The 15062-nt window shown below is 54.5% G+C and overlaps 1 protein-coding gene and 1 long non-coding RNA gene across 2 annotated transcripts in view, besides 1 other annotated feature; both read right to left on the reverse strand.

The window, feature by feature from the left end:
• Positions 1-3563: 3563 nt before the first annotated feature.
• On the reverse strand, positions 3564-9330 carry UPK3BL1 (uroplakin 3B like 1). The gene is made up of 6 exons (NM_001114403.3): positions 9169-9330; positions 7151-7312; positions 6743-6953; positions 5662-5738; positions 5253-5373; positions 3564-4172 (listed from the first exon to the last, which is right to left on the reverse strand). Exons 1-6 carry the CDS (start codon positions 9278-9280, stop codon positions 4064-4066), a joined length of 792 nt encoding a protein of 263 aa, NP_001107875.1. The 5' UTR covers positions 9281-9330; the 3' UTR covers positions 3564-4063.
• The window catches only part of POLR2J2-UPK3BL1 (POLR2J2-UPK3BL1 readthrough), a 34639-nt gene continuing 23140 nt past the window's right edge, over positions 3564-15062 (reverse strand). The window contains exons 5-9 of the long non-coding RNA NR_173352.1: positions 7151-7312; positions 6743-6953; positions 5662-5738; positions 5253-5373; positions 3564-4172 (exon numbers count right to left, since the gene is read on the reverse strand). This is a non-coding gene — a long non-coding RNA (POLR2J2-UPK3BL1 readthrough). The remainder of the gene's footprint in view (positions 4173-5252; positions 5374-5661; positions 5739-6742; positions 6954-7150; positions 7313-15062) is intronic.
• Positions 7359-7860: an enhancer, noted in NCBI's record as "H3K4me1 hESC enhancer chr7:102281267-102281768 (GRCh37/hg19 assembly coordinates)". NCBI's record gives its function as "activates a minimal SCP1, AML or CMV promoter by ChIP-STARR-seq in naive H9 embryonic stem cells {active_cell/tissue: H9 hESC(naive)}" and the evidence as "EXISTENCE:reporter gene assay evidence [ECO:0000049][PMID:30033119]".

The following is a 15062-nucleotide window of genomic DNA, read 5'->3' on the forward strand; positions in this document are numbered from 1 at the left end:
GTCCCCTGAGACTCAGAGGTCAGCCCCTGCAGAGTCCCTTCTGCACACCCCCAGCCCCACCCCAGCCTTAGCAGCCCTCTGTCTGGGCAGGACTTTGTGGCCCTCTCTCCAGTCTGGAGACCAGAAGGCCAGGAAGGGAGGCCAGGCATGGTGGCTTATGCTTGTAATTTCAGCACTTTGGGAGGCCAAGGTGGGAGCATCTCTTGAGCTCAGGAGTTCCAAACTAGCCTGGGCAACATGGCGAGACCCCATCTCTACAAAAAATAAAAAAATTAGCTGGGTGGTGGCACATACCTATAATCCCAGCTACTTGGGAGGCTGAGGTGGGAGGATTGCTTGAACCCAGGGGTTCAAGGCTGCAGTGAGCTATGATCGTGCCACTGCACTCAAGCCTGGGTGACAGAGACCCTGCCTCTACAAAAAAAAAGAAAGTTAGCTAGGTGCCTGTAGTGCCTGTAATCCCAGCACTTTGGGAGGCCAAGGTGGGAGGATCGCCTGAGCCCAGGAGTTCAGTGCTACAGTGAGCTATGAAGACGCCACCATACCCCAGCCTGGGCAACAAAGTGAGACCCCATCTCTAAAAAAGGAAAAAAAAAAAAAGAAAGAAACAAAAGAAAGAACAGGAAGGATCTAATTCCACTGGATCAGCATGAAAGCGGCGTGTGCCTCCGTATGTCCATTTCGCTTTCTCTGTCCTGCTCTGACCCAGCAGATTGGCCTCCAGGGACTGCACCACTGAGACCCCACACTCTCTTGCTTCTCGTGAGGTGTGGCCAGTGGAGGCACTGGCATGAGATCAGGGGGCGGGAAGACAGAGCCCAGTTCCCTCTGGTGGCTTCATCCTTTCACCTACAGCCCCTGCTCCTGCGGGGCCCCTCACCCATGGCTACTGCCTGCTGATCGGGAAACATCACTCCCTCCCTCCCATCAGCAATCAGATCCAGGAGTGCTTAGGGCCCCATTACAGCCAAGTCCCAGGTCACCCTCTCTGGTCCATTCCCCTAATGCTGCCCACACCTTTGTAAACGCTCTCAATTGCCCTGTGAGACAGCGTACCATCTGTTTCCTGCCAGGGCCCGACGCATACAGGGTGTGGGCAAGGGTTTGTGAAATGCAGGGTCTTAGAGTTCACCCAGTTCACCTTCCCTTTTAAAAATGTTTCACTTTAGAGACAGGCTCTTGCTCTGTCACAGAGGCTGGTGTCCAGGGGTGCCATCATAGCTCACTGCAGCCTCCAACTCCTGGGCTCAAGCGATCCTCCCACCTCAGCCTCCATAGTAGCTGGGACTGCAGGTTCACACTACCATGTCTGGCTAATTTTTCTTTTGTTTTGTTTTGAGACAGTCTTGTTCTCTGTCACCCAGGCTGGAGTGCAGTGGCATGATCTGGGCTCACTGAAACCTCCTTCACCTGGGTTCAAGTGATTCTCCTGCCTCAGCCTCCACAGTAGCAGGGATTACAGGCATGCACCACCATGGCTGGCTAATTTTTGTATTTTGTATAGAGACGGGTTTTCACCATGTTGGCCAGGTTGGTCTCAAACTCCTGACCTCAGGTGATCCTCCTGCTTCTGCCTCCCAAAATGCTGGGATTCCAAGTGTGAGCCACCACGCCTGGCCTTAACCACCATGCCCGGCCTTAATTTTTGTATTTATGTTTTGTAGAGATGGGGTGTTGCTATGTTGCCCAGGCTGGACTTGAACTCTTGGTCTCAAGCAATCCTCCCACCTCGGCCTCCCAAAGCACTAGGATTAGAGGTGTGAGCCATCTGCACCTGGCCTAACCATTGCTTTTTATGTAAGGGGAAACTGAGGCCCAGAGAGTGTGAGTGATCTGTCTTGGGTCACTCAGCCCCAGGGTTGGGGCTCATAGCTGTTCTGAAAAGGTTCTGGAGAGGCCAGGGCTTATCTCACAGAGGTTGGCAGCCTGTCTGCCCCATCCCCTGCCTGCCTCTCCCAGCCTGGTAGCTTCAAGATCATTTGAGCATTTCCTCCACAGCAGGAGCCGGATGCATCTGCTCCACCTAATAACCCCATTAGGGCCATTTGCGCCTCTCAGGGGCAGGCGCCTGGGAACCCAGCCAGCGCCCTCCTCCCTGACCTCTTGCCCCAGAGGGCAGGGCCCCTCCACATGGCACAGGGTGTCTTCCGGTCTCCTCTCCATCCCTCACCCTCCCCTACCTGCCCATCAGCAACACATTGCTCCTCCTGCCTGGCACCCTTCCAAGGTCCACCTGGCCCAAGTGTCCTGCTCCTTCTTCAAAGCCACCCCTCCCCAAGATGCTGCCTCTGAAGCTCCAACAGTCCATCTCCCTGACAGTTGTGTCCTCTCCTTCTCTCGTATGTGGTAGTATCACTGTCTTCCCCCTAAAGCAGTGGGCACCTTGAGGGCAGAACCTTGCCGCGGGCATCTCTGGCCCCTGGGGTCCGAGCACTGAGCGGGAATCCTGATGATAAGTGTTGCATGAGCTGGGCACAGTGGCTCACGCCTGTAATCCCAGCAGGAGGATCACTTGAGACCAGGAGTTCGAGACCAGCCTGAGCAACATAGTGAGACCCCGTCTCTAAAGAAATTTAAAAAATTAGCCAGACATAGTGCCATGTACCTATAGTCCAAGCTACTTAGGAGGCTGAGGCGGAAGGATCGCTTGCACCCAGGAGTTTGAGGCTGCAATGAGCTATGATCACACCACTGTTCTTTCCAGCCTGGGCAACAGAGTGAGATTCCATGTCTACAAAAAAATTAAAAATTAGCCGGACGTGGTGTCATGTGCCTGTAGTCCCAGCTACTCTCAGGAGGCTGAGGTGGGAGGATCACCGGAGCCCAGGAATTAGAGACTGCAGTGAGCTATGATGGTGCCACTGCACTCCAGCCTGGGCTATAAGGTGAAACTCCATTTCAAAAAAAAAAAAAAAAAGAAACTGCGCCTTTTGCCTTTTGTGTACTCTAGGAAAGGACTGGAGGAAGTGGAGGCAGAGGGCTTGAAGTCCTCCAGCCAACAGGGGGCAGGCTGGGGAGAGGGGCCACAGGGAGGATGCTTGGGTGGAAAGATAGCAAGTGCCAGCCATGCTGCCCCGTGGCCTTTGGTTACCAGGAGGCTGTCTGGGCAGGACAAGAGGAGCACCTATCTCAGGTCCACAGTCCGCCAACAAGCCCAGCTAATTTTTTGTCATTTTTGTAGAGATGGGGTTTCACCATGTTGCCCAGGCTGGTCTCGAACTCCTGGGCTCAAGTGATCCTCCTGCCTCAGCCTCCCAAAGTGCTGGGATTACAGGCCTGAGCCACCGCAACCGGCTTTGGGTCCACAGTCTTCACAGTTCCCAAGGCATGTTCACCTTGGTTTAGCCTTACTGTGGCCTTGTGGGTTCAGGGTTACCATCCTCATTTTACAGATAGGGACAGTAAGGCTGGCAGAGAGGCCTGTCCTGCCCCAGGTGACAATTTCTCTAGGATCCTGAGCCTTGCCCTGGTCCTACACGCCCTTGGGGACCTCCTCAGGAGGAGGAGCCAGGGGCAGTGGTGCAGAAAGACTACCCAGGTGTATGATGTCACGGACAGGCAGGGAGGTTTTGGGGGCATTTATTTCCGATAGAGACTGGCACAAGCTTTGGGCTAAGGACACCCGCCCCCACCCTCATCTAGAAACAATCTCTCTCGCCAGACTTGATGGCTCACGCCTGTAATCCCAGCATTTTGGGAGGCCGAGTCGGGCGGATCACAAGGTCAAGAGATGGAGGCCATCCTGGCCAACATGGTGAAACCCCATCTCTACTAAAAATACAAAAATGAGCTGGGCATGGTGGCGTGTGCCTGTAGTCCCAGCTACTCAGGAGGCTGAAGCAGGAAAATCGCTTGAACCCGTGAGGCAGAGGTTGCAGTGAGCCAAGATCGCGCCAGCCTGGCGACAGAGTGAGACTCCGTCTCAAAAAAAAAAAAAAAAAAATAGTAAAGAAAAGAAACAATCTCTCTCAGGGTCCAGAAGCTTCAGGGCGTGTCCCAGCTCAGGCTCTGCAGCCTGGGCCAGGGAGGAGGTGGAGGGACACGTGGGCCCCTCTGGAACCCCTCAGGAAGCCCCCTCGGCAGGAGTGCTGAACGCGAGGTGCGTGGTGTATCTTCTCACACTCCCTGCCTCCTCTGGGCCTGATAGGGAAGTGCTCCTGCAGCTGTTGAAGCTTGGGAGGGGAGGAGAGAGGGAGAGATGATGGATGCTGAAGAAAGGCTCTGGCCGAGATCCCACAGCCATTGGCTAGCATGCTCTGACCCATCGCATAGGGGAAACTGAGACTCCACTGGCTGGGCAGAATTAACCAAAGGGACTGAGGCGATTCCTTCAAACCTCACAAATCTAGCTCATTGCTCCTGCTCCCCATCACTCTCCCCCTCCACCCTCCACACCTCAGGACCCCGCTCAAACATTATCTGCCTGTCTCCCCTGATCAAAACCCACTCCCGGCTCCCATAGGCTGCAGGATACAGCCCAGTTCCTCAGCTAGGCACCTGGGGCCCCTGGCCTGGCCTGGCTGCATGCACCCCTCCTGCCCCTCCTGCCCCCACACCTCCCCACCCCCTTTTTAGTCACTCCCTCTCCCCCTCCTCCCCAAATCCCAACAGGGCTAGGTCTCCCCTTTTCTCTAGGAAGCCTTGTGGACACTCTCTGTGCCCCAGGCTCAGGCACCTGAGCTCTGTATGAAATCCTGACACCCCCCCCTTTTTTTTTTTAAATGGAGTCTCACTCTGTCACCCAGGTTGGAGTGCAGTGATGCAATCTCAGCTCACTGCAACCTCCACCTCCCAGGTTCAAGCCATTCTCCTTCCTCAGCCTCCTGAGTAGCTGGGATTACAAGCACGTGCCACCACACCCGGCTAATTTTTTGTATTTTTAGTAGAGCTGGGGTTTCACTATGTTGGCCAGGCCGGTCTTGAACTCCTGACCTCAGGTGATCTGCGGGCCTCAGCCTCCCAAAGTGCTGGGATTACAGGCGTGAGCCACCGCACCCGGCCTGTATGGCGTCTTGAGGCAATGCTCAGAGCTTGGTGTGAAAGCAATTCACCTCCTCCTTGGGCGCCTCCCCGACTGGGGTGTCCGCAGGCGGCACCCACTTGCAATCCCAGATGCTGCCACCAGGGGGTGCACAGTGCCCGCTTGGAAGGTGGGCAGGGGCGGGCGGGGAGGAACTAGAGAGGGAGGGGTTAATGCCCAAGGGCCCCGCCCCTCCCAAGAGGCATGGGCGGTCTCAGCCCGGTCCACTCACCAGGTGTATATGAGCACAGCCAGGAGGACCGTGAGGAGGACGGCCAGGAGGATAGACAGGATGGCGATGATGACCACGGTGCCCGGGCTCTGGGGGCCGGGGACAGCCCGAAGTGCCTGGGCTGAGGGCAGTGATGGGGGCCGCACAGGCGGGCAGGAAAAGAAATTTTACCTGACCGGAAGGGGCCCTTGGGCAGAATCCAGACCAATCACCGCCCTGCCTCCCCTACTACCACCCAGGCCTGGGGGAAGGGGGTGGCTGGGGGAGGGGCGCCTGCAGATTGCAAGATGGTTGGCTGCCTCTGACTCAGTGGTGAGCTGACCTGTTCCCCCAGCCCATCCTCAGTCCTCAGGACCCCCAGGCCCCAGCCCCCTGCCCCTACTGTTTGACCGGAGCCTCTGGCCCCTACCTTGCTGCAGGCGAGTGTCGCTGGACCACTTGGTTTCAGCCACGGGTCCTTCGTCATTCATCACCAGGAACTTCACCCTGAATGGGAGACCCAGCATTGGACATGGGGGTCCCCCGGAGTCCTGAAACCATCAGACTTGGTGCCTGCAAGTCTGTCCCCTGGAGTCCCAGGCCCTGGCGAGAGCAGCCCGGGGAGGGGGCCGGAGGCTGGGGCGAAAGAGCCCAACAGAATGGGTTCAAATCTAGGTGTGACATTTCCAGTGGTGTGACGTCCCTCCCCCTCTCTGGGCTTCTGTGTCCTCATTTGGGAAAGGTAGAGGGCGAGTATTAGATGTCTCAGAACTGAACATGCGTGAATCAAGCATTTAGTGAGGGGAGACCCTGTCTGGATGGAGAGACGCCACCTGAGTGGTCCACACAGCCTGTGGGGACTGGGGCTTGAGGTGGGGAACCTTCTGCTCAAGAAAAGCAGGATAGGCCAGGCATGGTGGCTCACGTCTGTAATCCCAGCACTTTGGGAGGCCAAGGTGGGCCTTCAAGATCACTTGAAGCCAGGAGTTGAGACCCGCCTGGCCAACATGGTGAAACCTCATCTCTACTAAAATTACAAAAATTAGCCAGGCATGGTGGCAGGTACCTGGCCAACATGGCGAAACCCTGTCTCTACTAAAAATACAAAAAGTAGTCGGGTGTGGTGTCAGATGCCTGTAATTCCAGCTACTCGTTAGGCTGAGGCTGGAGAATCGCTTGAACCCGGGAGGCACAGGTTGCAGTGAGCCGAGATCACCCCACTGTACTCCAGCCTGGGTCACAGAGCAAGACTCCATCTCAAAAAACAAAACAAAAAAAAAAAAAAAAAAGAAGAAGAAGAAAAGGAAAAAAAAAAAAAAGAGAAGAAGGATAATTCATGTAATTCATGAAGGCCTCCCTAGCCCCTGCCTGCTGCTTCCTCTTCCCTTTGGCCAAGCAGGAGCAGGGGACCCAGGCATCCTGCTGGGGCCCTGGTGAGCCTCGTAGGAGCTGCCCCAGGCTCCGGCTTGGGTGCATGCGGGCAGGAGCCAGGGCCTGGCAGAGCTGCTCACCTGTAGGGGCCGGGTCCTGGTAGGGGATGGTTGCAGCCAATTTTTGTTGGTTGGCAGTGGGTATCATTGCCGACGCGGAGGACATGGAGCTGGCCTCTGGTCTGGTACAGCACCCGGTTGGCCCTCAGTGTGAGATAGTAGCCCCTCTGGGAGAAGTTGGCAGGAGCAGGGATGTCCTGGTTTGTCCGTGGGGCCGTGAAGCTCTGGGTGGCTAAGGGTGGCACCATGGTCAGACAGGTCACACAGCAGGATCCCACCCTCACCTTACCAAGCCTGACAGCCCTCCCCGGCCCCATCCCCTGCAGCACCTGCTCCCTGCATCTCCCTGCAACACACCCGCTACTGCCCTTAGGCCCGCAGGCCCATTTCACATAGGGAAAACCGAAGCCTGGCCCCAGCAGCACCCACCGTTGCTGAGGGCCACCACCAGCCAGATGGTATCCAAGTCAGAGATGTTGTGGCTGCTGAACTGGCCTAGAGGCTGCTCCAGCGTGAAGGTGGACAGGGTGAGCCTCCCCGCCAAGGTGTCGTTTGAGAGCTGGGGCACATAGCTGATGTGCTCTGGGGCAGCTGGAAGGGGAGGGCAGAGAGGAGAGTCCAAATGGGGCAACCAAGCCCCAACAGCTCTGGTCTCCCCCCGCCCAGATCCAGACTTAACATGGGAGCCCCAAGTTACGGGCACTTCCTGGGAGGTCAGGTCCGGTATGAACCAGGAAGCTTTCCCGGCAACTCTATGCCCCATGGGCATGGGTGGGAGGCCTGAGTCCAGCCCCTGGCCCCTCTCTTAGGAGCCTACTGGGGGTGGGCACTGTGGGAGGTCTAGGACAATGGTGGCATGGGAGGTCCCACCCTGGCGGTAGGCACAGTTCTCCTGGGCCGGGCCATGTTGGGATGGAACTGGAATTTGGGGGCAGCCTGACCCTAGGCTGAACTCTGTTCCTGACATGCCCAGTGACCTCCAACTTAAGTCCCTCCAGCTCCACCCACATGGTCTAGGTTGTTTTGCTTGATGAGAGGATGCGTGGCTTGGCAGGGGTCGGGGGGATGGCACAGGAAGGTCCTCTTGGCTGAGACCCCAGGCTGGGACACAGACTGCCCAGAGGGTCCGGGGGCTCTGGAGCCAGAGCTTGGTTCCGAGTGAGTCTAGAACGTCCTCTTCAACCTGCCTGGTTCTCTGCCGCCTCCCAACATGGCCCCGAGGCATCTTCGCCTTCAGGACCAGGTCCCCCTCTCAGACTCCCACCTCATCTCTCTGGGGAAGGGTGGGGGACGAGGACAAGCTTCCCAGGTCTGTACCCCAAAGGGGACTCAGGATTGGCAACTTGGCCTGTGTCCAGCCTTGCTGGTTGGAGAGCTCAGACCTCCCCAACCCCAAATACTGGTCTAGGAGAAGCAGAACGATGGAGTGGGTTTCTATGTGAGTCTCCAGCAGCTGCCCCTGTTCAGTTCAGTTCAGTTCAACTTCATTCATTTACGTTGAATTCAACTCAACTCCAAAGGTTCAGGCTAGAGTCTTCCTTGGGGAAGGATTGTCACGATTCCTTTCTTACAGCTCTCAGTCCTATCTCTGAAGCCCAGGGCACTCTGCGTGCAGGAGGCACGTAATGTTTAGAAAGAGAAGTGGAGGCCGGGCGCGGTGGCTCACGTCTGTAATCCCAGCACTTTGGGAGACTAAGGCGGGCATATCACGAGGTCAGGAGTTCGAGACCAGACTGGCCAATATGGTGAAACCCTGTTTCTACTAAAAATACAAAAATTAGCCAGACATAGTGGCGCACGGCTGTAATCTCAGCTACTCAGGAGGCTGAGGCAGGAGAATTGCTTGAACCCGAGAGGCGGAGGTTGTGGTGAGCTGAGATCGCGCCACTGTACTCCAGCCTGGGTGACAGTGGGAGACTCTGTCTCGAAAAAAAAAAAAAAAGAAAGAAAAAAAAGAAAAAGAAAAAGAAAAAGAGAAGCGGAGCAGTCAGAGATTGGGGTTGGGGGCAGAGATTGTAGGACTGTATCTCTCAGCCTGTCCAGTTTTTCTTTTCTTTTCTTTTTTGAGACAGGGTCTTGCTGTTTGGCCCAGGCTGGAGTGCAGTGGCGCATTCATAGTTCACTGCATGGGCTCAAGCCATCCTCCCGCCTCAGTCTCCCAAGTAGCTGGGATTACAGGTGCACTCCACCACACCCAGCTAATTAAAAACAAAAATCTTAAAAAAAAAAATCTTTTTGAAAAAAGGGGTCTTGTTATGTTGCCCAGGCTGGGCTTACCAGAGCTTCCTGGGGACATGCATTGTCCTGGACATCTGGAAACCTCTCCTCAGGGAAAGGAAGGAGGCAGGAGCCATGTGTGAGAATTTGGAAACAAAGTGAGGTCTTGGGTTTGTCCTGCAGCCTGAGATGCAGCGGGTACCCCTGTGCCAATCCCCACCCTTACTCACCCACGTCTGTCCCAGGCTGGACACGGGTCAGTAGCAGCAACAGCGACACTAGCAGCTGGGACTGTCCCGCAGAGAGCCCTATGGCCGGGCCAAGCCTCCAGCTGTTGTCCATCTGTCTGTCCGTCCGTCTGCAGTGTCTGCAGCCCCAGAGGCTCCCCTGTCTGTAGTCTGTGCTGTGCTAGGGGAAGCTGTTCCTGGCATCTCCTGCTGCCCCTCCCAGCTACCCCCTCCTCTCAAACAACTGGTTGGACAGGTTTGGGGGCAGAATCTGCCAGCCCAGTGAATCTGGCATCGCCAGGGAGGGGTCTGAAGAGAACATACAGTTGCAAGACAAGCCTGGACTACCCCCCCCACCCACCAGGAGCGCCTGACCAGGGAGGGGCTGAGGAAGGAGGCGGGGCAGCCTCAGGATCCAGGCTGCCCCAGGGACAATCCCGCTAAGTCTACCCCGTGGATCTCCTTGTCCAAACAGTCCCCAATGTAGCGACTCTTCCTTTAGGACCTGAGGTGGGAGGATCACTCGAGCCTGGGAGGTTGAGGCTGCAGTGAGCCAAGATGGCACCACTGCACTCCAGCCTGGATGACAGAGTGGGACCCTGCCTCAAAAAAAAAAAACAAAAAACAAAAAACAAAAAACCAACCTAGGAGGAGTTGGTGTCTGTTTTTGGTTCATAGGGAGTGCCGCTCAAGCAAACTCCCTGGAGTCTCTTTTATTTATTATTATTTTTTTTTGGGGGGGGCAGGGTCTCACTCTTTCGCCCAGGCTGGAGTGCAGTGGTGCGATCATAGCTCACTGTGGCCTTGACCTCCCAGGCTCAAGGTTCTCAGATTCTCAGGCCCCACCCTGGGGAAGGATGGAGGATGAGGACAAGCTTCCCAGGTCCACATGACAGAGGGACTCAGGATTGGCAATTTGGCCTGTGTCCAGCTTTGCTGCTCAGAGAGCTCAGATCCCCACCCTCAATTCACTCCCTTGTGTGGAAGGGAGTGACCCTCACTTTCTAGCACACACAGGGAAGAGGGCTTGGCTAAGAGCACCCAGGAGGTCAGGGCAGGACTGGGGATTAGATCACACCCAAATGCATCTCTGTGGCACTCCTGGTATAGCCCTGCTGTCCCCCTGTAGCCTGGCCCTGGGAGGGGGGCTCCCAGACTTCACACCCCCTCACCTCTTTATCCAGGGGACCGGCTGTCTCTTCCTCCTTCATCCCCAGCCTCTGTCAGGGCAGGGTAGTTCCTCCTCGAGACAGAAAATTACCAGATGGAAGTCCAGGCATGGTGGCTCACGCCTGTAATCCCAGCATTTTGAGAGGCCGAGGTGGGTGGATCACCTGAGGTCAGGAGTTCGAGACCAGCCTGGCCAACACGGCGAAACCCCATCTCTACTAAAAATACAAAATTAGCTGGACGTGGTGGCTTGTTCTTGTAACTCCAGCTACGCAGGAGGCTGAGGCAGGAGAACCACTTGAACCCAGGAGGCAGAGGTTGCAATGAGCCGAGATCGCACCACTGCATTCCAGCCTGGGCAACAAGAGTGAAACTCCCCCTCAAAAAAAAAAAAAAAAAAAAAAGATGAGATGGGGCTCAGGGCAGGTGGAGCGAGACCTGTGACCACCTCTCCCCTGGATCGGGGTGCTAGCCCCCGTCAGCCTGACCTTCACGCTCTAATTATGCCAGATGTCTTCATTCTGGGAAACCCAACAGATTATCACCTGTGGGCCCCATTTTTGGATGAAGAGGGACCATTCCCTGAAGGGGACATACCTCAGTTCCCCGAGGGGATTCAGATGTTCACCTCAACTCACAAGAAAAACTTCTGGCCGGGCGCAGTGGTTCACACCTGTAATCCCAGCACTTTGGGTGGCCAAGGTGGGCGGATCATCTGAGGTCAGAAGTTTGAGACCAGCCTGACCAATGTGGAAAAACCCCGTCTCTACTAAAGATACAAAATTAGCCAGTCGTGGTGGCACGCGCCTGTAATTCCAGCTACTCGGGAGGTTGAGGCACAAGAATCGCTTGGACCCAGGATGGGGAGGCCGTAGTGAGCCGAGATCACACCACTGCACTCCAGCCTGGGTGACAAAGTGAGACTCCATCTTAAAAAAAAAAGAACAAGAACAAAAACAAAAACTAGGAAGAGTTGGTGTCTGTTTTTGGTTCGTAGAGAGTGCCTTCTAGCTGTGTCCTCATATGGTGGAAGGGTCAAGGAAGCTCTCTGGGGTCTCTTTTATTTATTATATTATTATTATTTTTTGAGACGGGTCTCACTCTGTTGCCCAGGCTGGAGTGCAGTGGTGTGATCATAGCTCACTGCAGCCTTGACCTCCCAGGATCAAGTGATCCTCCCACTTCAGCCTCCCTAGTAGCTGAGACTGCAGGTATAAGGCACCATGCCCAGCTAATTTTTTGTTTGTTTGTTTGTTTGTTTTGAGACAGAGTCTCACTGTCGTTCAGGCTGGAGTGCAATGGCACGATCTCGGCTCACTGCAACCTCCACCTCCTGGGTTCAAGTGATTCTCCTGCCTCAGCCTGCTGCGTAGCTGGGATTACTGGCGTGCACAACCACTCCTGGTTAATTTTTGTATTTTTGGTAGAGACGGGGTTCGCCATGTTGGCCAGGCTGGTCTTGAACCCCTGACCTCATGTGATCTGCCTGCCTCGGCCTCCCAAAGTGCTGAAATTACAGGCGTGAGCCACTGTGTCCGGCTGCCCAGCTAATTTTTTAACTTTTTGTAGAAAGAGAGTCTTACTGTGTTGCCCAGGCTGGTCTCAAATTCCTGGGCTCAAGTGATCCTCCCACCTCAGCCTCCTGAAGTTCTGGGATTCCAGGTGTGAGCCACCATGTCCGGCCTGTATAATACAATTTTTCCCTCTCTCACTCCCTTTCAAAAGGCAGTTGAAAGCAGACATCAGAATGTGGGAAGGGCTTGTTTCCCCTTTTTGAAAACACGTTCTTGCTCATCGACTCATCCTCTCCTTGGGTCCCCAGAGATGGGCAGGGCAGGTGTTATGACTAATCTCATTATATGGATGAGAAGAAACCTGGGGCCCAGCAGGGAAAGAAACTTCCTGCAGTCCCAGGGCAGGTCAGCGGCAGGGCTGGGACCCAACCCCAGGTCTCCTGTACCCAGGCAGGACTCCCTCTTTGCCTTTTTTTTTAAAATTTAATTAATTAATTTGAGTTGGAGTCTCGGTCTGTCACCCAGGCTGGAGTGCAGTGGCACAATCTCAGCTCACTGCAGCTTCTGCCTCTGGGGTTCCAGTGATTCTCCTGTCTCAACCTCCCAGGTAGCTGAGATTACGGGCACACGCCACCACGCCTGGCCAACTTTAGTATTTTTAGTAAAGACAGGGTTTCACCATGTTGGCCAGGCTGGTCTCAAACTCCTGACTTCAGGTGATCCACCTGCCTCGGCCTCCCAAAGTGCTGGGATTACAGGTGTGAGCCACTGCACCCAGCCTGTCACCTTTTTTTTTTTTTTTTTGAGACTGAGTCTCCCTTTGTCACCCAGGCTGCCATGCAGTGGTGCCATCATAGCTCACTGCAATCTGTCTCCTGGGCTCAAACAATGATCCCGCCTCAGCCTCCTGAATAGCAGAGACGACAGGTGTGCACCACCATGCCTGGCTCATTTTTAAATTTTTTGTAGAGATGTGGTCTCACTATGTTGCCCAGGCTGGTCTCGAACTCCTGGGCTCAAGTGATCCTCCCACCTTGGCTTCCCAAAATGCTGGGATTACAGGTGTGAGCCACTGCACCCGCCCTTGAATGGATTTTAAAAACCCACCTAGGCTGGGCGTGGTGGTGCATGTTTGTAGTTCCAGTACTTTGAGAGGCTGAGGCCGGAGGATCATATGAGGCCAGGAGTTTAAGGTTGCAGTGAACCATGATCATACCACTGCACTCCAGCCTAGGCGACGGAGTGAGACCCTGTCTCTAAACTAATAATAATTTTTGAAAGTGTTAAAATCCACCTAGAATTTATTTTTGGTGTGATGTGTGATTCAAATTATTTTTTTCTCAAGTTAGCCCGTTATTCAAACACTAAAATATTGAAAAATGCATCCTAAGCCGGGTGCAGTGGCTCACACCAGCACTTTGGGAGGCCAACGCAGGCGGATCACCCGAGGTTGGGAGTTCAAGACCAGCCTGACCAACATGGAGAATAATAATAAGCCGAGATCGCACCATTGTACTCCAGCCTGGGCAGCGAGAGTGAAACTCCATCTCAAAAAGAAAGAGAGAAAGAGAGAGAGAGAGATAAAGGAAGGGAGGAAAGAAAAAGAAAGAAAGGAAAGAAAGAAAGAAAGAAAGAAAGAAAGAAAGAAAGAAAGAAAGAAAGATGTATCCTTTCCCTATTTGAACTGAAATGCCTTTTTTTTTTTTTTTTTTTGAGACGGAGTCAGGCTGGAGTGCAGTGGTGCAATTTCGGCTCGTTGTAGCCTCCGCCTCCCAGGTTCAAGTGATTCTCCTGCCTCAGCCTCCCAAGTAGCTGGGATTACAGGCGCACACCACCAACCCACATAATTTTTGTTTTTTTAGTACAGATGAGTTTTCACCATGTTGGCCAGGCTGGTCTCAAAGTCCTGACCTCATATGATCTGCCCACCTCGGCCTCCCAAGGTGCTGGGGTGACAGGCATGAGCCACCACGCCTGGCCTGAAATGCGGTTTTTATCATACGCTGCAGACTAATGCATCCTCAGTGTCACCTCCCAGCTTGATGTGGGACAAGCCACCAAGGGTGTCCTCACCATGGCCCTGCTCAGGCCACCAGTTGGCTATGTTTGCCCCTGCCACCCCAGGCACACAGGAGTTCAGGAGTCCTCTCTGGCCTTGCCTTTATCCTGGGGCAGCTGCAGGTGACAACCTCTGGAAGAGGTGGTAAGAGGAGCCAGGACACAGGCCAGTCTGAGGGACACACTCCTCCCACAGTCCTGGAGAGGGGCCTGCATGTTTCTGCACCTGGAGGGCCGGGCCAGGGTGGGGAAGACTGGGGATGGGGGGGAGGCTGGACCCTGCAGGTTCTTGGACCTGTGGTCAACCGGGAAGCCAAGTCCCTGATCTGCAGTGAGGCTGCGGCTGCCAGCCCCTTGAATAGGCACAGTAAGCACCTCCCAGCAATGCCACTGTGCAGAAGAGATGCCAACAGTGACAAGGGGGGCCAGGATGGTCCCCAAACCAGACACCCCATCTTCACCCTCTGCCATTTTCCTTCTCCAGGTCAGCCCTGGGGCCCTGGCACAAGCTCAGGAGGGGAGAGAGGCCATGCAAAGTGATCACACTGGACCCTCTGCCCTGAGAGCCTGGGCACTGGGAACCAGATGTACTGTGATTTAGAAGAATGCGGCCGGGTGCGGTGGCTCACAGCTGTAATCCCAGCACTTTGGGAGGTTGAGGCAAGAGGATCGCTTGAGCTCAGGAGTTCGAGACCAGCCTAGGCAATATGGTTAGACCCATCTCTACTAAAAATACAAAAAATTAGCTGCGCATGGTGGTGCACGCCTGTAGTCCCAGTTACTCATGAGGCTGAGGGTTGAAGCATGAGAATTGCTTGAGCTCAGGGTGGTTGGGGGAGGTTGGGGGGATGGAGGGTAGAACTGAGCTGGGATAGTGCACCACTGCATCCAGTCTGGGTGACAGAGTGAGACCCTGTCTCAAAAAAAAAAAAAAATGCATCTTATACCTTGAGGGTCATGGAGTCTTTCACGCCTTCGTGTGTGTGTGTGTGTGTGTGTGTGTGTGTGTGTGTGTGTTCAGGTCAACTTCTGGAATTTCTGTTTCATTTCTTGGATCAATCTGTCTGTTCAGGTGTCAGTACTAGACTATTTTAATCCCTGTATGTATGTATGCATGTATGTATGTATGTATTTATTTTGAGACGGAGTTTTGCT

Source organism: Homo sapiens, chromosome 7, assembly GCF_000001405.40.
Source record: "Homo sapiens chromosome 7, GRCh38.p14 Primary Assembly".
Lineage (NCBI taxonomy): Eukaryota > Metazoa > Chordata > Mammalia > Primates > Hominidae > Homo > Homo sapiens.

What these genes read in the sequence shown, in the direction of transcription:
- UPK3BL1 (NM_001114403.3), bottom strand. Translation starts at nt 9,280, where the DNA reads ATGGACAACAGCTGGAGGCTTGGCCCGGCCATAGGGCTCTCTGCGGGA. An exon ending in GGTGGTGGCCCTCAGCAACG is followed by an intron (nt 6,954 to 7,150) that starts GTGGGTGCTGCT and finishes TGCCACCCTTAG; the next exon opens with CCACCCAGAGCTTCACGGCC. An exon ending in GCTGTGCTCATATACACCTG is followed by an intron (nt 4,173 to 5,252) that starts GTGAGTGGACCG and finishes TCCCCTCCCAAG; the next exon opens with CTTCAACAGCTGCAGGAGCA.